At 41.4% G+C, this 23,057-nt stretch overlaps 1 long non-coding RNA gene across 1 annotated transcript in view; it reads left to right on the forward strand.

Annotated features, from left to right (window-relative positions):
* Window positions 1-1,647: 1,647 nt before the first annotated feature.
* TTTY4 (testis expressed transcript, Y-linked 4) overlaps window positions 1,648-23,057 on the forward strand; it is a 36,830-nt gene continuing 15,420 nt past the window's right edge. The window contains exon 1 of the long non-coding RNA NR_001525.1: window positions 1,648-1,808. This is a non-coding gene — a long non-coding RNA (testis expressed transcript, Y-linked 4). The remainder of the gene's footprint in view (window positions 1,809-23,057) is intronic.

Genomic DNA, 23,057 nt, shown 5'->3' on the forward strand with positions numbered 1-23,057 from the left:
GTGTGAAGGATGAATTGGCACACAAATAAAGGGGCAGCCAGGCCCTTGGCCTAGCAACACTGAAGCTTACAGGTGGCTTCGGAAAGCAGGATAAATAGCCCGTGGACTTAATGCTAGATGGCTCTGTAACAATGAAACATCTGCCCAGGGATCTTAGCAATCCTGCTAGAAGGCCCTGACTATACCCTGGATTGGAGATACCTGAGGTAGAGTGGCTGCCAGAGAGCCTGAGCAAACACCAGTTTTGACCACTATGGCTGGGTCAATCTAAAATAGCTTATCTCTTCTGATTTACAATACAAAATATAGAAAAATAAAGTGAAAAAAGTAAAATCAAGAGAAAAAAATTAAAAAATAAGTTTAAAGTAATTAAAAATAGTAAAGACAAATAAACTGAAACAAAATAGAGAAAAATAAAGAGAAATGTAATTAAGATCAGGGAAAGTAAATAAAATGAAGATGAAGAAAATAAATACAATAAAATTAAGAGAAATAAACAGAAATGAAACAATTTGCAATAGAATAAAATAAAACTTTATGAATCAGGAGAAAAAATAAAAGTAAAAATAAAGATAAATATGGAGAAATAAAATAAAATAATATAAAGGGATAAGAATGGGAGTAAATAAGATAAAAAAGAAATTAAATAAAATGTTTCAAACAAGACACAAATTGGAGAACATTTGAAATGAAGAGACAATAATATAAAAAATAAAAGATAGAAACAAATTTAAATGCATAGAAAAAATGAAAGTAAATAAAAAATAAAAAAGAAAAAGAAAAATATATAGAAAAATAAAAGTTAAAGAGCAAAATAAGACCTGGGGATAATCTACAAAATGTTTCACCCAACAATTGCATAGTACATATTTCTATATACATTTGGCATGTTTTCTTAGATAGGCAAACTTTTAAGCTAGAATGCAAGTTTTAGCATATTTAAACTGACGGTAATCACAAAAAATATTATTTCTGACTACAATAAAATATAACTGGAAGTAAAAACCAAAAGAAAACTAGTATATCTGCATATACATGAAACCTAGACAAATTCTTGAGCATACTATTTTTCAAGAGTTAGAATAGGCAAGTTTCTTTAGATGTTAATTGTTTGGATTCACTCAGGCCGCTGGCAGAAATATTACAGGGAAGTATTAGGAAAAGTTATAAGGAATAGTAACAAACCTTTTTGGCAGGCTAAAAGGCTAAAATTATTATATAGCTTGTAATAATTGAACAGGCTGAAGGCAACCTCTTCTTACCTTAAAGCATTAGGTCATAGGGTAAATACTAGGGACAACTGAGGCTTCTCCAGTTAAGTCTGTTTACTCTACCTCCACTAACTAAGATGGCTCTCTCCAGGGAGTTCGACCAGAGAAATTGCCCCCAATGGTATTTACTTTAGACTGTGGTAACTGAGGTTTAATCATTCACAGAACTATTCTCTTAACAATGTTAATTATCCACAAGTGTGTTTACTCAAAGCTTCTGTGATTAATTCTATACTAAATAAATGCCTGGAGGGTGAGTTGCTCAGGGTGGGCCTCCATTCTTTACAGGACTCTCCGTGGAGTCTGGGAGTGGCCTCGGACCCTCTGCTGCTGGCAAAGCAGGATATCTGTGTGTCAGGTAGTTTATTCACCCATCGCCAGGTCTGCAGTTGGAGCCCATTGTGTGAGGCAGTCTGTGAAGGAAGTGTGAGAACCACCCTCATGAGGAAAGCTGTAGAGGAAGAGTGAGGAATGCGACAGACTCCCTGAAAGCAAAGGTGGAAAAAGAATTCACGTGGTGAAGTCAGTGACTAATCAGTAAGTCATTGGTGCCCACTCGAGGTTACCAAGTTCTGGGAGAAGTTGGGTCAAGCTGAGGTATTCTCATGGGACAACATTTATCAGCTCAACAGAAACAGTATATAAAAGTGTTGAAACAGTTGCTTAAGGCTAGTGGAGCATCAGTTTTGCAGGCTCAATTAGGGGACATAATGCAAACTGTTGTAATCCTGAGAGGTAAAACTGGCTGGGCTTTGGGTGGGGTGGGGACTTGGAGAACTTTTCTATCTAGCTAAATGATTGTAAATGCACCACTCAGTGCTCTGTGTAGAGCTAATCAGGTAAGGGACTTGGAGAGCTTTTCTGTCTAGCTAAAGGATTGTAAATGCACCAATTGGTGCTCTGTGTCTAGCTAAATGTTTATAAATGCACCAATCTGCACTTGCTAAAAACAGACCGATCAGCACTCTGTAAAATGGAACAATCGGCAGGATGAGGGTGGGGACAAATAAGGGAATAAAAGCAGGCCACCTCAGCCAGCAGTGGCAACCCACTCAGGTCCCCTTCCACACTGTGGAAGACCTGTTCTTTTGCTCTTTGCAATAAATCTTGCTGCTACTCAGTCTTTGGGTCCACACTACCTTTATGAGCTGTAACACTCACCATGAAGGCCTGCAGCTTCACTCCTGAAACCAGCAAGACCACAAACCCACCGGGAGGAACAAACAACACTGGATGCACCACCTTTAAGAGCTGTAACACTCACTGTGAAGCTCTGCAGCTTCACTCCCGAAGTCAGCGAGACCATGAACCCACTGAGAGGAACAAACAACTCCAGAAACACCAACTTTAAGAGCTGTAACACTCACTGTGAGGGTCTGCAACTTCACTCCTGAAGTCAGCGAGACCATGAACACCTGAAGGAACAAACTCTGGACACACTGTCTTTAAGAACTGTAACAGTCACCGTGAGAGTCCATGGCTTCATTCTTGATGTCAGTGAGACCAAGAACCCATGGGAAGGAATCAATTCCAGACACACTTTGGTGACCACAAAGGGACTATTGCCTATTGCCAAGCAGTGAGTACCATCGACCCCTTGTGCTTGCTATTCTGTCCTATTTTTCCTTAGAATTCTAGGGCTAAATAGCAGGCACCTGTCAGCCAGTTAAAAGCAACTAGCTTGGTCACTGAACTAAAGACATGGGTGCCAGGCTTTCTGGGAAAGGGCTCTCTAGCAACCCCAACTCTTCGGAGTTGGGAGTGTTGGTTTGCATGGAACTAGCTTCCACTTTCCCTGTACTTCTGGGCTGAGATGAGGGTTGATAGGAAAACCATTCAGCTCCATGGTCCCAACAACAAATTGGTTGACCCTGCAGCCATGGCGGAACTCTTAGTCATGTCGCCCAAGCGAGACTCTCCCATCTATCCTATCTATCCTGAGCCTTGCCTCCTGGGTCCTAAAGCCTGTCAGACAATCTTCCTCTTGCTTCTGTTCTCTGAGGCTAGTCCTGCTTCTAAAAACCACTCCCTGTCTCTGGTGCTTTTCTAGTTTCTCCTGTAAGAACTATTTCTGGTATAAACTCCAGGACTCTATTCCCTTCTCCTGGCACTCAGGCTCAGCAATCAGAAAGAGAGAATTTTTGCCCAAAGCCCCATTTTAAGGGGGACTATCTGGAATTTTAGGATCCCTCCTCAGACAAACAGGCTTAACAAAACCTATTCCTGAAGCTAGGATATGGGACGCCTCAGAAATTGTATCTTTCTTATTCATATAAGTGAGGACAAAAGGCATCACTCTTCTGACTCTGGTGATCTCTTCCCTCCCTCAGGGTATGGCCCTCCACTTCATTTTTGGGGCATAACATCTTTATAGGACAAGGATAAATTCCCAATATTAACAGGATAATGCTTAGGACTCTAACAGGTTTTTGAGAATATGTCAGTAAGGGCCACTAAATCCGATTTTTCTCAGTCCTCTTTGTGGTCTGGGTGGACAGGCAAGGCTGCAGGTTTTGTTGTGGTCCAGGAGGAAAACCAGTGTTTCTGCTGCTGCATCAGTGAGCACAACTATTCTGATCAGCAGGGTCCAGGATCCATTGTGGGTTCTTGGGCAGGTGGAGAAACAAACAAACAAAAAGAGTGGGCCGTTTTCTCTTTCGGATGGGAAACACTCAGGCATTAACAGACCCACTCTTGCAATGCATCCTAAGCCATTGGGACCAATTTTACCCACAAACCCTGAAAAAGTGGTGGCTTATTTTTTTCTGCACTATGGCCAGGACCCAATATTCTCTCTCTGATGTGGAAAAATGGCCACCTGAGAGAAATATAACTTACAATACTATACTGTAGCTTGACCTTTTCTGTAAGAGGTAAGGCAAAAGGAGTGCAATACCTTAAGTCCAAGTTTTCTTTTCATTGAAGGAGAATACAAAACTATGCAAAGCTTGCAATTTACATCCCACAGGAGGAACACTCAGCTTACCTGCATATCCTAGCCTCCCTATAGCTCCCCTTCCTATTAATGATAAGCCTCCTCTAATCTCCCCTGCCCAGAAGGAAACAAGCAAAGAAATCTCCAAAGGAACACAACCCTTCCCCGGGCTATCGATTACATCCCCTTCAAGCTCTAGGGAGAGGGGAATTTGGCCCAACCTTGGTACATGTCCCCTTCTCCCTCTCTGATTTAAAGCAGATCAAGGTAGACCTGGGAAAGCTTTCAGATGATCCTGATAGGTACATAGATGTCCCACAGGATCTAGGGCAAAGCCTCGATCTCACTTGGAGAGATGTCATGCTATTGGTAGATCAAACCCTGACCTTTAATGAAAAGAATGTGGCTTTAGTTTTAGCCTGAGAGTTTGGAGATACCTTGTATCTTAGTCAAGTAAATGATAGAATGACAGCTGAAGAAAGGGAAAAATTCCCTACGGGTTGGCAAGCCATTCTCAGTGTGGATCCCTATTGGGACCTTGACTCAGATCATGGGGACAAGAGTCATAAACATCTGTTCACCTGTGTTCTAGAAGGACTAAGGAAAATTAGGAAAAAGCACATGAATTATTCAGTGATATCCACCATAACTCAGGGAAAGGAAGAAAATCCTTCTGCCTTCCTTGTGTGGCTAAGGGAGGCCTTAAGAAAATATACTGCCCTGTCACCCAAATCACTCAAGGGTCAATTGATTCTAAAAGATAAGTTTATTACCCAATCAGCCACAGACATCAGGAGAAACTCCAAAAGCAAGCCCTGGGCCCTGAACAAAATCTGGAGGCATTACTAAACCTGGCAACCTTGGTGTTCTATAATAGGGACCAAGAGGAACAGGCCCAAAAGGAAAAATGAGATCAGAGAAATGCTGCTGCCTTAGTCATGGCCCTCAGACAAACAAACCTTGGTGTTTCAGAGAGGACAGAAAAGGGAGCAGGGCAATCACCCGGTAGGGCTTGTTATCAGTGTGGTTTACGAGGACACTTAAAAAAAAAGATCATCCAGGCCGGGCGCGGTGGCTCACGCCTGTAATCCCAGCACTTTGGGAGGCCGAGGCGGGCGGATCACGAGGTCAGGAGATCGAGACCATCGCGGCTAAAACGGTGAAACCCCGTCTCTACTAAAAATACAAAAAATTAGCCGGGCGTAGTGGCGGGCGCCTGTAGTCCCAGCTACTTGGGAGGCTGAGGCAGGAGAATGGCGTGAACCCGGGAGGCAGAGCTTGCAGTGAGCCGAGATCCCGCCACTGCACTCCAGCCTGGGCGACAGAGCGAGACTCCGTCTCAAAAAAAAAAGATCATCCAATAAGAAACAAGCTGCCCCCTTGTCCACGTCCACTATGTCAAGGCAATCACTGGAAGGTGCACTGCCCCAGAGTACAATGGTTCTCTGGGCCAGAAGACCCCAACCAGAGGATCCAACAACAGGACTGAGGGTGCCTGGAGCAAGTGCTAGCTCATGTCGTCACCCTCACTGAGCCATGGGTATGCTTATCCATTAATGGCCAGGAAATTGGCTTCTTCCTGGACACTGATGCGGTCTTCTCGGTGTTAATCTCCTGTCCTGGACGACTGTCCTCAAGATCCGTTACCATCTGAAGAATGCTGGGACAGCCTGTAACCAGGTATTTCTCCCAACTCCTCAGTTGTAATTGGGAGACTTTGCTCTTTTCACATGCCTTTCTTAATATGCCTGAAAGTCCCACACCCTTATTAGGGAGGGATATATTAGTCAAAGCTGGAGCTATTATCTACATGAATATGGGGAGCAAGTTACCCATTTGTTGTCTGTGGCTTGAGGAGGGAATTAACCCTGAAGTTTGGGCATTGGAAGGACAATTTGGAAGGGCAAAATGCCTGCCCAGTCCAAATCAGGCTAAAAGATCCCACCACTTTTCCTTATCAAAGGCAATTTCCCTTAAGGCCTGAAGCTCATAGAGGATTACAGGATACTGTTAAACATTTAAAATCTTGAGCCTCAGTAAGGAAATGCAGCAGTCCCTGCAGCACTCCAATTCTAGGAGACCAAAACCCAGTCAGTGGAGACTAGTGCAAGATCTTAGACTCATCAGTGAGGCAGTAATTCCTCTATATCCAGTTGTACCCAACCCCTATACCCTGCTCTCTCAAATACCAGAGGAAGCAGAATGGTTCACAGCTCCGGACCTCAAGGATGCCTTCTTCTGTATTCCTCTGCCTCTGACTCCCACTTTCTCTTTGCCTTTGAGGATTCCACAGATCACACGTCCCAACTTACATGGAACGTCTTGCCTCAAGTGTTTAGGGATAGCCCTCATCTGTTTGGTCAGGCACTGGCCCAAGATCTAGGCCACTTGTCATGTCCAGGGACTCTGGTCCTTCAGCTTGTGGATGATTTACTTTTGGCTACTGGTTTGGAAGCCTCATGCCAGCAGGCTAGTCTAAATCTCTTGAACTTTCTAGCTAATCAAGGGTACAAGGTGTCTAGGTCAAAGGCCAAACTTTGCCTACAGCAGGTCAAATATTTAGGCCTAATCTTAGCCAGAGGGGCCAGGGCCCTCAGCAAGGAATGAAAACAGCCAATACTGGCTTATCCTCACCCCAAGACATTAAAACAGTTGCGGGGGTTCCTTAGAACCACCCACTTTTGCCGACTATGGATCCCCAGATACAGCAAGATGGCCAGACCACTCTGTACGGTAATCAAGGAGACCCAAAGGGTAAATACTCATCTAGTAGAATGGGAACTAGGGGCAAAAGTACCCTTTAAAACCTTAAAGCAGGCGCTAGTACAGGCTCCCGGTTTAAGCCTTCCCACAGGACAAAACTTCTCTTTATATGTCACCAAGAGAGCAGGGATAGCTCTTGGAGTTCTTACTTAGATTTGTGGAATAATCCCCCAACCAGTGGCATACCTAAGTAAGGAAATGGATGTAGTAGCAAAAGGCTGGCCTCACTGTTTATGGGTAGCTGTAGCAGTGGCTGTCTTAGTGTCAGAGGCTATCAAAATAATACAAGGAAAGGATCTCACTGTCTGGACTACTCATGATGTAAATGGCATACTAGGTGCCAAAGGAAGTTTATGGCTATCAGACAACCACTTGCTTAGATACCAGGTGCTACTCCTTGAGGCACTGGTGCTTCAAATATGTACATGCATGGCCCTCAACCCTGCCGCTTTTCTCCCAGAGGATGGGGATCCAATCAAGCATGACTGCCAACAAATTATCGTCCAGACTTATGCCACACAAGATAATCTCTTAGAAGTCCCCTTAGGTAATCCTGACCTTAGCCTATATACTGATGGAAGTTCATTTGTGAAGAATGGGATACAAAGGGCAGGTTATGCCATAGTTAGTGATGTAACTATACTTAAAAGTAAGTGTTTTCCCCTAGAGACCAGAGCCCAGTAAGCAGAAATACTGGCACTTACCCAAGCCTTAGAACTGGGAAAGGGAAAAAGAATAAATGTGTATACAGATAGCAAGTATGCTCATCTGATCCTACATGCCCATGCTGCAATATGGAAAGAAAGGGAGTTCCTAACCTCTGGGGAAACCCCCATTAAATGCCACAAGGAAATCATGGAGTTATTGCACACAGTGTAAAAACCCACGGAGGTGGCATGGCACTCTTACACTGCCAAAGCCATCAAAAGGGGAAGGAGAGGGGAGAACAGTAGCATAAGCAGCTGGCAGAGGCAGGGAAAGACCAGCAGAAAGGAAAAAGAGGAAGAGACAGAAAGTCAGAGGGAGAGAGAGAGAGGAAGAGACAGACAGACAAAGAGGGAGTCAGAAAGACAGAAAGAGAGAGATGAAGGAGAAGTCAAAGAGAATGAAAGAGATATGGAAATAGTAAAGAAAAAACAGTATACCCTATTCCTTTAAAAGCCAGGGTAAATTTCTAAATATCTACCCAGCCAAGGCATATTCTTCTCCTGTGGAATGTCAAACTATATCTGCCTCCCCACTAACTGGACAGGCACCTGCACCTTAGTCTTTCTAAGTCCCAACATTAACATTGCCCCAGGAAATCAGGCCCTATCAGTGCCCCTCAAAGCTCAAGTCCATCATTGCAGGGCCATACAACTAATACCCCTACTTATAGGGTTAGAAATGGCCACTGCTACAAGAACCAGAATAGCAGGTTTATCTACTTCATTTTCTTACCATCACACACTCTCAAAGGATTTCTCAGATAGTTTGTGAGAAATAACAAAATCTATCCTTACTCTACAATCCCAGCTAGATTCTTTACCAGCAGTGACACTCCAAAACTGCAGAGGACTAGACCACCTCACTGCTGAGAAAGGAGGACTCTGCACCTTCTTAGGGGAAGAGAGTTGTTTTTACACTAACCAGTGAGGCATAGTACGAGATGCTGCCTGGTGTTTACAGGAAAAGGCTTCTGAAATCAGACATCTTTCAAACCCTTATACCAACCTCTGGAGTTGGGCAACATGGCTCCTCCCCTTTCTAGCTCCCATGGCAGCCATCTTGCCATTACTTGCCTTCGGGCCCTGTATTGTTAACCTTCTTGTCAAATTTCTTTCTTCTAGAATTGAGGCTATCAACCTAGAGATGGTCTTACAAATGGAACCCCAAATGAGCTCAACTAACAGCTTCTACTGAGGACCCCTGGACCAACCTCCTGGCCCTTTCCGTGGCCTAAAGAGTTCCCCTCTGGAGGACACTACAACTGCAGCATAATTCTTTGCCCCTATCTAGCAGGAAGTAGCTAGAGAGGTCATTGGCCAATTCCCAACAGCAGTTGAGATGTCCTGTTTAGAGAAGGGATTGAGAGGTGAAGCTGGCTGGGCTTCTCAGTCAGATGGGGACTTGGAGAACTACTTTGTTTAGATAAAGGATTGTAAATGCACCAATCAGCACTCTGTGTCTAGCTAAAGGTTTGTAAATGCACCAATTAGTGCTCTGTGTCTAGCTAATTGGGTAGGAGACTTGGTGAACTTTTCTGTCTAGCTAAAGGATTGTAAATGCACCAATCACGCTCTGTGTCTAGCTAAAGGTTTGTAAACACACCAATCAGCACTGGATAAAAATGGATCAATCAGCACTCCGTAAAACAGACCAATCAGCACTCTGTGAAATGGACCACTCAGAAGGATGTGGGTGACACCAGATAAGAGAATAAAAGCAGGCCACCCGAGCCAGCAGCAGCAACCTGCTTTGGTTCCCTTCCATGCTGTGGAAGCTCTGCTCTTTCACTCTTTGCAATAAATCTTGCTGCTTCTCGCTCTTTGGGTCCGCACTACCTTTAGGAGCTATAACACTCACTGTGAAGGTCTGCATCTTCTTCTTGAAGACAGCAAGACCAATAACCCACTGGAAGGAATCAATTCTGGACACAATCCCAAGATCATGGTTCCCAGAAAAAGGAACACTGGATGTAGTACTCTGAGAACAAGTGGGGATAAATCTTCAACATCAGACACAAAGGCAACAGGTCCCAGCTGTTATGGGCTTTCATTACAGCAGCCCTGTCTCCATTATACACAGAACAGACTATAAAGGGGAACGAGGAGGAAATGTCACCTGCCTTATCACCTCCTCTTCCGTCAGCCCTAATATTACTGAGCCAAAATAACAAAGAAGAAACAGATATTTTACCTGAGCCTTTTTCTTCAATACGTAAGAAAAAGGACCAGGAATACCCTCCAGTTATTAGTCCCTGTCTTCAGCTGGCAGCAATAAAAGGAGAGTTATTAGCCTGCCCGGTAATGCAAAATCAGCCAAGTAATCAGGTACATAAAGGGTTAAGAATAATCACTAAAAGCCAGAGCCACAGGGCCAGGACAAGGAAGCAGTAAGTAGAAAGAAAAACTCCACCCACACTGTGACAGAAGCAACAAAGAGCCAAGCTGCAGCCAGAGCTAGCCTGCTGCGAGTGGAACAGAAGCACACGTGACAAATTCCACCCAGGCCACATGTGTCCCACAGCTGGGGAAGGGAGCCAGCACAGGCAAAAAATGGCACAGGCAAAAATGGCGACTTTATAAATGTAAAGCAGTCACAGCGCCGGGACCTGCCTGCTCCTTTCTCTAACTCCACAGGCTATCCAAGACAAAATCTCATGTGCTGCTTGTTTACAAGCAACATCACAGATTATAGTTCTCAGCTAAAATTTAAGTAAAATGTAAGAATTAGAAAACCTCTTTCTAATAACCTCCACTGTTGTCATCTCTCTTCCACCCTGATGAAGCTCACCAAATTCAAGTAAAACAGTAACGTTTAAAGGTTGAGACATTACAAACAACCCATGAGTTAGTTTAGAAGTAGTTAAAAGCAAACTTTGTTTTTTAACTAGTAGAAAAAAAATTCCTGATTACATGATTATTCATTTTATGGATGATATTTTACTAGCAGCCCCAACGGAGCCAATACCTTTAAATTTGTTTACCTCTGTCATAAGGAATACACAACTGAAAAGTTTAGTCACTGCACCTGAAAAAGTACCCATGTTCCCTCCTTGAAAATATCTTGGATATCTGTTAATCTCCTGGTCAGTAAGACCTCAAAAGTTTAACCTAAGTACTAACAACTTACACACATTAAATGATTAGCAGAAATTATTGGACAATGTTACCTGGATTTCTCCCATTGTTGGAATTCCTACCAATAAACTACAAAACCTGTTCTCTATCTTAAAGGGCAACCCAGCCCTCAATTCTCCCAGATATTTAACCCTTGCAGCAAAAAGGGAAATCAAGGAAATTGAGCAAGCCGTCTTTCAAAGGAAGCTAGATCGCATTGATCCACCGTATTCCAATCAGCTATTTATTTTTTCCACCTAACACTCCCCTACAGGGTTACTAGGACAAATGACTCCCAGGCTATGTTTCCTAGAATGGGTTTTTTGCCCCCATACCGGGACTAAAACACTGTCTCCTTATACTCAGTTAATTACTAAAGTCATCTATTCAGGTCACAAACGTTAAAAATCAGTTGCGACATAACCGATATCATCATGATTCCTTTAAGTAAAGAGCAATTCAAAGCTTCATTATCTTTGTCAATACACCCACAAATAGTTTTATCTCATTACACAGAGCAAATAAAGCACATCCTCCCTGCTGATAAAGTCTTTCATTTCTTATCTCATACTCCGGTAATAATGCCTACAAAAAGAGTTTACTCCCCTGTAACTAATGCTTTAACACGGTTTACTGATGGGTCCGCAAACATGGAAAAGCAGCAGTCTGGTAGAGACCATATAATTCAATCATGCAATCTGAGTTTACTAGCAAACAGAAAGCTAAGGTTACTCTGTTTATTTATTAAAGAAGTTTTACAGCCTTAACTCTATTCTGGAGCCAGGACGGTTTACTCTTTCTCCAACTTCAGCAATTGGCTAGATCAACATACAAGTCCCATTTTTATTACACATATTTGAGCCCACAGCTTACTTCCTAGCCCATTGGCTTATGAGCAGTGATCAAGCAAACCTACAGGTTAAGCCATCACTGCTAGACCAAGCCACCCAATCGCATGAATTTTTCCATCCAAATTGAAGAAACTTATCAACTTACTCAGAGACTGGCTAAATAAATTATCCTACAATGCCCAGATTGCCAGCTCACAGGTAAGTCCCCTCCTTCAACAGGTGTTAACCCTAGGGAAACAGAACTTAACCTGCTATAGCAAACAGATGTTACACCCATACTTGAATTTGGAAAACTTAGATATGTACAAGTATCTATTGATACCAACACTCATTTAATTGCTGTCCAAGATCAGAGAGAAACAGAAAGGTTAAAGAGAGAAATAGAGGGGAAAAAAAAGAAAGACTAGAAAAACCAGAGGTCAAAGTCACAAAAAGTAAGACAAAGAAAAGACATAAAGAGAAAGAAATGTTAAGAAAGTTATAACCATTAGACTGCACCTTTATTAAGGAAGGTTATGAAAGAAATAAAGTTAAGGCATGTTGAAAATTGTCTGTGGAAGTCATAAAAACATTATAAAAAGAAAACTATTCAGGACATGTTGTATAATTTTGTTTTGAAAGTCTAAGCAAGTTTTAAAATGTTAATTGTTAACAAAATTCTCTGAGTAAACATATTGACTAAAGTTAAAGATGTGTCATCCAACAATCATAGACTGGATTAAGAAAATGTGGCACATACACACCATGGAATACTATGCAGCCATAAAAAATGATGAGTTCATGTCCTTTGTAGGGACATGGATGAAATTGGAAATCATCATTCTCAGTAAACTATCGCAAGAACAAAAAACCAAACACCGCATATTCTCACTCATAGGTGGGAATTGAACAATGAGAGCACATGGACACAGGAAGGGGAACATCACACTCTGGGGCCTGTTGTGGGGTGGGGGGAGGCGGGAGGGATAGCATTGGGAGATATGCCTAATGCTAGATGATGAGTTAGTGGGTGCAGCACACCAGCATGGCACATGTATACATATGTAACTAACCGGCACATTGTGCACATGTACCCCAAAACTTAAAGTACAATAATAAAAATAAATTAATTTAAAAAAGATGTGTCATCCAGTTTTTCTGTAAACAAGACATTAAAAGCACAAGTTTTTCTTAAAGCACTAACCTGCTCTTTAACAAAGATTATGAGAGATATCTTAGCACAGACACAATCTCTACAATTTCCAATACACAAGCACCAGCCAAGACACTGCATCCTCATCAAAGGATTAAAAGAAGAAAAAACTCGAGCCAGCCTAGGAGAGACCCTGCAAGATGATGCAGCTTTATCAGAGAAAGATGACTCAGAAGGCTATGCAAATCCTGCTTCTTTTTTATTCTCTCACTTTGTCTACTACCTGTATCTGCCAAGCTCTATTAAGCCCATCTTGTAACCTCCTTTGTTCTACCCTAGTACTTAGACTAACACCCCCTTTCCAGCTTCTAACAACATCACTGCTTAAATAAAAGGAAATCAACATTCCCCCAGTGAGGTTCCTCATTAATAGCACAGAGTGAACTCAGATGGCAAGTAACTCTGCAAGTCACTCTGACTGGAAGAAGTGTTGTTAATTATACTCATGATTGTTTTGTGTTATTTGCTATTTATATGATGCAAAGCTGGAATAAGATCAGTGACCACCTCACCTGACAAACCTATGACTGCACATATCTGTGCTCTGCAATCAAAAACCTGATGCAGAAAAGAACAGAGAGGAGGATTTTGAGATTCACTCAGGAGGATGGCAGAAATATTAAAAGAAAATAATTAGGGAAAGTTATAGGGAATAGTCACAGACTTTTGGAAGGCTGAAAGGTTGCATAGCTTGTAATAATTCAAGGGGCTGAAGGTAGTCGGTTTTAACCTTAAAGCATTTGGTCATAGGGTAAATGCTAAGGACAATAGAGGCTTCCCCAATTAAGTTTTTTTACCCCACCTCCATTAACTAACCTTTAAGCCAGATGGTCCTTTCTGGGGAATGTCAACCAGGGAAATTGCCCCCACTGGCATTTACTTTAGACCGTGGTGCCTGAGGTTTCGTTATTCACAGAACTATTCTCTTAACCAGGTTAATTATCCACAAGTGTGTCTACTCAAAGCTTCTGTTAATAATTCTATACTAAATAAATGCCTGGAGTGCAAGTTGCTCAGGGCACAGCTGCCACTCTTTACAGGACTCCCTTTGGAGACTGTTAGTGGCCCCAGACCCTCAGCTGGACTTGAAAAGCAGAATATCTGTGTGACAGGGTACTTTATTCATCTGTCGCTCGGTCAGGGGTCTGCAAGGGACAGACTCCCTGCAGCTAATGCCCTCATGAAAAGAGTGGTGCCTCAGTTAATGGTATTAGAAATGATCTACAGGTCAATGAGAACTCTTTCAAAGAGCCAATAGTTTTTTGTTGTTGTTGTTGTTTTTGTTTTTGTTTTGCAGAAGTAGTAAAATATTCTAAAATGTTTGAGTCAATATTTAGCTGTGTCACCCAGGCTGGAGTGCAATGCTATAATCATGGCTCACCATAGCCTTGACACATCAAGCTCAATTGATCCTCCCACCTCAGCTCCAGAAGTAGCTGAGACTGCAGGTGCATGCCACCATGCTCAGCAAGTTCTTGTATTTTTTGTAGATACAGGGTTTCACCATATTGCCCAGGCTGGTGTCAAACTACTGGGGTCCTGCAATCCACCTTCCTTGGCTTCCCAATGTATTGGGATCACAGGAGTAAGCCCTCAAATATTGCACTATAATTTATGTAAACACTCAAAAACAAACAAAACAAAAAAAGTAGCAAAACAACTTTGGAAAAAAAGAATATACTTAGATAAATACTTTTTATTTCAAAACATATTGCCAAGTTACAGTAATCAAAATAGTGTGGTGCTGGCATAAAGACAGTTAAATCAATGTTAAGGCAAATAACAGAGGCCAGAATGAAACCCACATGCATAAAATTCAGCTTATCTTAAACAAACGTTCTAATTCCTCATGTTGCAGAACGTTCTCCTTCAGCAAAATTGGGTTCTTGTCACATGACTAGGAAAGATTAGGCTCAGGGACACTCCTGAAGGATAAAGAGTAGAGCTGATTGGGTAAAAGAAAAGAAAAAAAGAAAAACTCTCAACGAAGTGAGTGGGAGTCGTGTTTACCAGGCCCCCACTTCACGGATTGCTGAACACCAGACCATCACACAGGAACTGATGAAGCCAGGCTCCTCCTCCCTGCACAAGGGGTAAAGTTTCCATGGCCTTCCAAGCCTCCACTCCCTTCCCCCAGTTTTCAGATGGAAATTATTCAAAGAGAATCTGTTGGAAAAAGGCAGGCTTCATCTAGCACAAGCACTCGATTTTTCAGCCTTCAGGCTGTTTTAGGCTTGAAGATGGGGTTTTGTCCAAGACACTTGGCTGTTTTCTAACTCTGTTATTTTCCACTGTCAATAAGTATATCTAACTGCTGTTAGAATAAGGATAAAGATGAGGACAAAAACCACTTTTAAGTGCTTCCTGATGACAGGGGGCACTGTTGTGAAATAAATGGCAGTCAGTTATTCCTTAGAGGCCTAAGTGTCTCCAGTGAAAGGGGCCATTGTCTCAGCCTATGGTAGTGTGACTGTTTGAAGTTTGATAGCCTGAAGGTGAGGAGAATCAAACTGTGTTACTAAAAAGCACGTATTAAAATGAACCAAGGGAAATGTGGAAGAGACAGCTCAAAAAAAATCCAGGGTTTTCACCAGTTTGCATAGGTAGAGGGAGGCCAAAAGCCCAACAGGAAAAAATAAAAGAAAGAAAGAAAAAGAAAAGGAAAGAAAGAAAGAAAGAAAGAAAGAAAGAAAGAAAGAAAGAAAGAAAGAAAGAAAGAAAGAAAGAAAGAAAGAAAGAAAAAACTTTTACCCTTTTGACAGCATATGAGACTTCTGGGTTCTTTTCTCCTGGGTCCAATCCTAAGCTGTCCAGTTTAATGTTTGGGAAATTAACTCTTCCAAACTTGGAGGATGCATTGAAGAGGAATGTCCCAAAACATGGAGATGTGATTACCTATCTCTAAACAGCAAACGGAGGAGAAAAAATGAAAAGTTAGCATTTTTTCAAAGGAGTTCCAAGGGTTCAGGATGCATTCAAAATGGGTCTAGACTAAAAATGAATGGTTACTTATCTTGAAAGAGATAGAGGAGCAGGAGTCCCTGGCTCCTTTCTCTTCCTAGCAATTTCCCAGGGTGTGTTGAGCTATAGGAGAAAGAATATTCTTTTTCCCACTTCAATCCTTGTATCCCCAAGTCCCACTGATTGTAACAGGGTGCCTCCCATGGGTGTCGAGGCAGCTTTCACCAATGTTAACAGGGAGGCCTAAGGGGGTGGATATATCTGCTCTTACACATGTGTACCCTTTCTTCCCTGCTGTCAGTAGCTCTGGAGTTCACTGGACCTCATTTATGGCATGGATAGTAGCATAATCTTTATCCATGAAATCGGGGGCTTGGCTTAATCCCTGGGAATTAGTTATGCTCACCAGCATTGTGCTTTTTTACCTCCATTATCACCTGCCTCTGGATTTCTCAAATTTTTTACTTTTTTCTATGGTGTCAAACAGAAGCTTAGAATTGAGGCTGGGGCAAAAATGTGTCTCAGGGCATTGCATGGACTCTTTATCATGAGCTGAATGCTAAGATGAAGCTGTGGAATTGAGTTCTTCTTCTACAAGGGTGAGAAAAGAATGACTGTGACATACTGAGGAAACTAGTGGCTATAGTTGTGCTTCATAAAATTTAGGTGGGCACCCTATATATTCCCATCACTCTGCAGAATTTGCAGGATAATTGTCCAGAATTATAATGTTAATCCAGATTTTCATGTGTACCAATTCATTTTTGTTTATTGTGGGCTGCAGTTGAAGATCATTAGTGGGGTCACAGAAATAAGCAAGATTGTTCTAAAAAGTAGGCAACAATGCAAAACTTGTGAGTTTAGAATTTAATGACAAATATATAATAAGTTGTGAAACATAAACTTTATCCAGTCCTCTTCTATTAAAAAATAAATCATGATAGGACTGAGTTGTTTGTAAAATAAACTTTATTCTGATACTGGGCCTGATTATTTGCATAAAATGCAGCAAGAATAATTATTTCTAGATAGGTCTTTTACATTGGCTTTGATGGAACTCTGTTCCACAAGAAATTTCAGATGGGACTTTCTAAAGTCAAGCCCAGCCACGGGTTTGTACAATCAGATAATTTTTAGTTGGGTGATTCTCTGCTCTTATGGTCCCAAGATAAACTTGGAGCTCCTGGGCCTGTCAGAAAGTGTCATTATTTAGTTACCACAGATCAGGAACCCTGCTAAAGGACTGTTTAGATGAGGTATAAAGCCAATTTTTCCACTGGGATTTTCTTGGTTCTGCAAGTTGATCTTGACTCCTTAAAGGGAAGCTTATTTTTTAGTCAAGGCCTTGTTCAAACAACCAGTTTCTCCAGTTGTGTTCTGTTGGAAGAGAAATTGGACTGTTATTGCACTGATACAAACACCTATATTGCCACAAGTTAAGAACACTCACAACTATTTTTCGAATTCAGGAGAAGTCCTGCCGAGAAAGGCAAACGTGATCCAAATTGTGCACACATGAGTACACCTTGCTCACATATTAAAGGCTGTAAGTATCTCAAGATGTTTCCTTGACTCTGGTAAATAATACAAGAATGAGTAATGTCTCAAACAAAAGTCAGAAGGGCTACTTCAATTTTCTATTAGTCCGGTCCATTCAGTCAACTCTTCTTTTGTTTGATATTCATACATATTTTAGCTCTTTGAGAGTCCTGTAAGTTTTTCCTGTATTTCAATGTCACAAGCTCCAAAGTTATCGGAAGCCTGCAATTGAGAGCACCTATTAAAGATCTATAGCTGATTAAAAAGCACTTCATAAAAAAATCAAAAAAGGAATAATTATCTGTGTATTACAAAGTGTGCAAGGTAGTTACAGTCAGAAATATGACAAAAATTTTCGTTATCTATATGGTTTGCAATAAATTAACCTAACAACCTTAATTGTGGATGATAGCATATACTTCAGACATTAGAATTTTAGAAATCCCATATAATTTTAGAACATGTATTAGTATTAGTCACCAAAATATCACCTAAAAATATTGAACACCATTTGGCAATTCCGTGTAACTAATCATGCCATATAATCCTGTTTATCTCTCTTGTTGATACTCTATGGGCCCTCTGTAGCATCCAAAAGCTAGAAATAAAGAAAGATAATTTTGTAACTACAGTGTGGTTTTGAGAAGGATGTTACAACTTAGAGGTTTAAAAATCCTGAAATAAAATTCCAGATTTTCCTAAATTACTTATTTAACAAAAATGATGACTTAGAAATGGAAAAGATATAATTTTTATAAATTATTTTATAATTCTTTACAAATGTTGGTAAGGAACAGATTAGTGCCTTAAGAGTACCTTGTTGGGCTTTTATTTCAATGTTCAATTTACAAGCATCTCACAGACATGGTAATGACTGTCATATGTGGGCCTCACACATAGAAGTATTTTCAACTTCCATAAATTGCTTTTGAAACATGAATGATTAAATCTCTTTCTGGTAATAAAAAAGTTCAAAGAAGACTATAGCAGCCTCAAGTATTTTATAATGTCCTCAGCTTGTACAGAAATTGTTATGATGGAATGCAGCAGAAAGGCATAATTCTGAGTCTCATATGCACACTGATCTGACAGTAAGGAATGTCACCATCTTAAATATATGAAGCCAACTGTCACTCATAAAAACAACTAATGTGTGGTATTGTAAATCTTACCCTGGGAGTTTTCCGCCAGTGTGCTTGTGATTTAATATTTTGTGAATCACCCATATGATTTGACTCTCTGGAAGGGTTTCAGCCCACATATGTTATTGTGGTATCTACCTGGGCCAACCTTGAGGTGATGTGACTCTCCCATCTGGGACCTACTCCCAGTAAAAATCACGAAAAATCACTACCTCCAGCACACAGGTCATGTTATATTTTTGCCTAAGCTATGCCCACAGAAATTATTGTGACATATCACTGTGTCAGCCCTGTAGGTGATGCAACTCTCCTCATTAGATTGGGCTGTGCACAGAGTATGGTATACTCACATATGGCTGCACTAGGGTCACAGATGATGGAACTCCTTTGCTGGGACCTTATCCTAAAAAGGGTATTGTGACAAATCTCTTGGCCTATCCTCTAGGTGATATAACTTGCTGCTTGAGTCCTGCCACATGGAGCATTGTGACATAAGTGTGAAAACTGTAACTGTTTGTTGTAACTCTCTCACCCATGTCCTGTCCTAAGGGAGCATTGTGACATATCTCAGGAACCAGCATAAAGGTGAAGTGACTCTTTTGCCTGACTTCTCCTGATATGTTAGATTGTGTTATAAACCTAGGGAAGCACCTAGGTGATATGACTCTTCTCTTCTGCCTCAGCCCTGCCTACTTGAGACATTGGGTCATATATCTGAGCCTGTGTTCTAAGTGATGTGTCTGTTTTCTTCTGCCTGAGCCCTTACCGTGGGATGCTGTGACATATTGCTAAGCCCAATACTTAGATTAAATGACTGTTCTTTTTCCAAATCATGCCAATAAAATAAATTTTGCTGTATTGCAGGGTACAGCACCCAGATGATGTACCTTTTCTGCCTGAGTCCTGCAGAAAGAGATAATTATGGCACATTGCTGGGCCCATCACCCTGAAGATATAACTCTCCTGCTTGTACCAGAGCAACTGAAAGTATTTTTATATATCTTGGGCCCATCCTGTAGGTGTTTTTGCTGTCCTTATTTGTTTGGGCTTGTTTTTCCACATTTGAGATTGTGTCATATTGCTGGGTCCAGCACTCCAGCACCCAGTTAATGTAACCCTCATTTCTAGACCCTGCCTAGAGAGGGTATTGTGACATATTGCTTGCCACAGCATGTAAGTTGTGCTACTTTTCCACTAAGTTTTTTTTTCTACAAATGAGATTATGATACTTACATTGCTTCAACTCAGTGGCATCATGATCAAACATAATTGGCATTCCACCAATAGTAGACTTTTCCCTCTCATAGCTGTGCTTAGGGCAATAGTTACAGTTATGAGATGCATATTTGCACAAAGCTCACAGAAATTTACAACACTAACTCATAGTCTATAAACTTGGGTGGTACACAGAGTTTTATAATAGAGCTCAGCAAAAGATTAAAATTGTGACCCTTGATTACAAATGCAGGTGAGAGAAAAAGTTTTTAGCATCTCATATTTATAAAGCCCACTGTTGAAGTTCTGACTCTAAGAAGTAAATAAAGTACAACGATGGAATTGTGACTCTCATATGTGGATCTTGCTACAGATGAGATGGTGACTCATTTCTGGACCCAGATTATAGGCACCATAATGGGTTTTCTGTCTGAACCCAGCCTATAAGAGAACTGTTGATTATCATAACAGGGTTTACATCAATATGTATGTTTTGGGTCAAACGAGCATGTAGGCTTCAGAGTGGTTTGTAACACTAAGGTATTTTGCATAAAGCCTTCAGATGTTGTAGAGTGTCTCATAAGATGACTGAGAACACACTTGAGATTGTGACTCTTACATACATAACAAACTAACAGTTAAATGTGTCACCTAAAGGATAAATTGATAGTGTCATATGACAAAGCCCAGCACCCCGGTGTTGAGAGTCTTGGCTTAGATTCTTTCCCATGGGTGTATTGTGAAATATTGCTGGGTTAGAATCATAAAAAGGTGACTCTTCTTCACGGATCCAGCCAACAGGGGATATTGTAACATATCTCTGGGCCTATCAGCTAGGTGATATGTCTCTCCTCTCACAGTGTTCTCTCACAGGGGACACCGACATTTTGCTGGATATAGTATCTAGGTAATGTGCTCTCCTCTCCTGCCTGGATCTCACCTACCTAGGAAATTGTGACATACCACTGAGTGCAAAACCTAGGTGGTGTGACTCTCCTCTTTGTGCTGGAATCTGCTATAAGAGGGAATTATAACATATTGCAGAGCCCAGCACCTAGGGAATGTGACTACCCTCTATTTTTTCAACCCTGTATACAATGGTCAAGATGATATATTATTTGAGACTGTACCCAGGAGATATGAGCCTTCTGACTGGATCCTGCCTAAAAAGAAGATATAATGTATTTCTGGCTAAGGACACAGATGATGTGACTTTTCTATCTTGTCTATGTCCAAAGATGAAATTCTAACATATACCTGGATTCAGCTGATATGCACAATAATAACTCATGCATGACCCATCCAAGGGAGATATTGTGAATCTCAGAGCCAGTTTATGGCCATGAGTAAAGTCTCAGATCTCTGTAAAATTAGATGTCTGTAAAAATTCAGACAAATGTATCCTACTCAGGTGTATCATTTAAGGTCTGTGTGGTACAAAGTGTGTCATAACAGGCACCAGCAACCAGGTGTTACACACATCGAGTTGTCACAGTTGTCATTTTCACACATGAACAGAGCCTATGAATGAGTTAAAAAATCTCACACACATAAGCAGTTGAAGCTGGAATTTGTTACCGTCATATATGAATCTGATCCACAGATGCTGTGGTGAAATTTACCCACGATTCTCCAGACCAGTGGTGCTTTGACTGTCCTACTGGAACACAACCTTCAATGTGATTGGGGCTGTTACACATGTATCTTGCCCATTGTTGAGATTATGACTTCTTTACTTCGACCCAACTCATAGGAGGTGTTGACTCTCATACCCGAAGCCAGAAGTTGTGTGGGCCTGTAAAATTTATTTCTGAACATTTTCAAGTGTGTGATTGTGAAGTTTGACTTTGTCCAGCATCTGAGTATTTTGACTCTCCTTTCTAGGCCAAGCCTAGAAATTGTGACATACATGCACCAGCACCTAAGCAATGTATAACAACTTTTTGTCAATGCAACTAGGGGCCCTTTTACATGTTACTGGTACCAGCAACCAGCTGGTGTGAAATGTTGGCCTAAACCCTGCCTACAAAGAGCATTATGGATTTTATCCAGATCCATCATGTAAATAATGTGAGTTCCTTCTACTGCCTTGGCCCTGCAATTATGCTGTATTGTGACACACTGCATTCAGGTGATGTGAGAGTTTTTGAGGGGAGTTCTGCCAATAGAAAGCTATGTAACAAATCACTTGGCTCAGCCCCTAGGTGCTGTTTCTCCTCTCTTGCCTTGACCCTGACCACCAGAGAGACTTTGACATATTGCTTAGCCCAGCACCAAGGTGAGTTCACTCTCCTGTCTTGATCCTGCACACAATGGCCATTGTGACATATATCAAGGCCAATTGCCCATGTGCAGTTTGTCTCCTCTCTTGCCTAAGCCTTGCCAACAGAGAGGATTTAGATATGTCACTGAAGCCAGCATCCAGGTGATTGACTCTTCTCCAAGAGTCCCACCCACAAGGAGAATTGTGAAATTTCACTGGACGTGCACACACTTAAATGATGTGACTTTCCTTACTTTCTTCTCCTTCCCCACAAGTGGTAATGTGCCATATACTTGAGAACAAATAAAAGGTCTAATAATGACTCTTGTACCAGGAACCAGGTCACGTGCAGGATTGTGACTCTCAACACTGAACCTTTTCACAGGTGTTATTCTGACGTTTATTTTTGCCCAGCTCTTGAGTCACTTAATAATCCTGCCTATTTAGAGTCCAGATGTGACATTTTTACATACAATTGGGCCAAAACCTTGGGGATTTGACTTTTGTCTTAACAGTGTTCTCCGAAGGGATCATAACATATCTCTGGACCTATGATCTAGGTTATGCGACTTTCCTCTCCTGACTGCACGCTGATTAAAGCAAAGAGTGTGGCATTTCTAAGCACGCATCCAAATGATATGACCCTTTTTCCTGGGCCATTACAACAGAAGGCATTATGATATATCTCTGCACCCATCATCTAGGTGATATGACTCTCCTCTCCTGCCCGGACACTCTTCACAAGTAACATTACAGCATAGAGCTTGGCATAACACCTAAGTTCTGTTACTTCTCCGTTAGGGCCTTGCATACAAAGAGAATATTGGAATATTTCTGGCTTAGGATTTAGGTGATGTAGTGTCCTGCCTATTTAGTAACCACAGAGGGCATGGTGACATATACCTAGGCACAGCTAACAGGCATGATAATGACTCTCATATGTGGACACAGCCAATAGGAGAAATTTTGACTCTTACAACTAGGTTTAGAGACATGAGTGACATGAAGCATCTCCTACTGTTAACAATGTCACAGAAGATTACAACACTCACACCTTCTTATAACACCTGTAAGTAGTATAGAGAGTGTCATAGCAGGGCCTAG

Source organism: Homo sapiens, chromosome Y (assembly GCF_000001405.40).
Source record: "Homo sapiens chromosome Y, GRCh38.p14 Primary Assembly".
Lineage (NCBI taxonomy): Eukaryota > Metazoa > Chordata > Mammalia > Primates > Hominidae > Homo > Homo sapiens.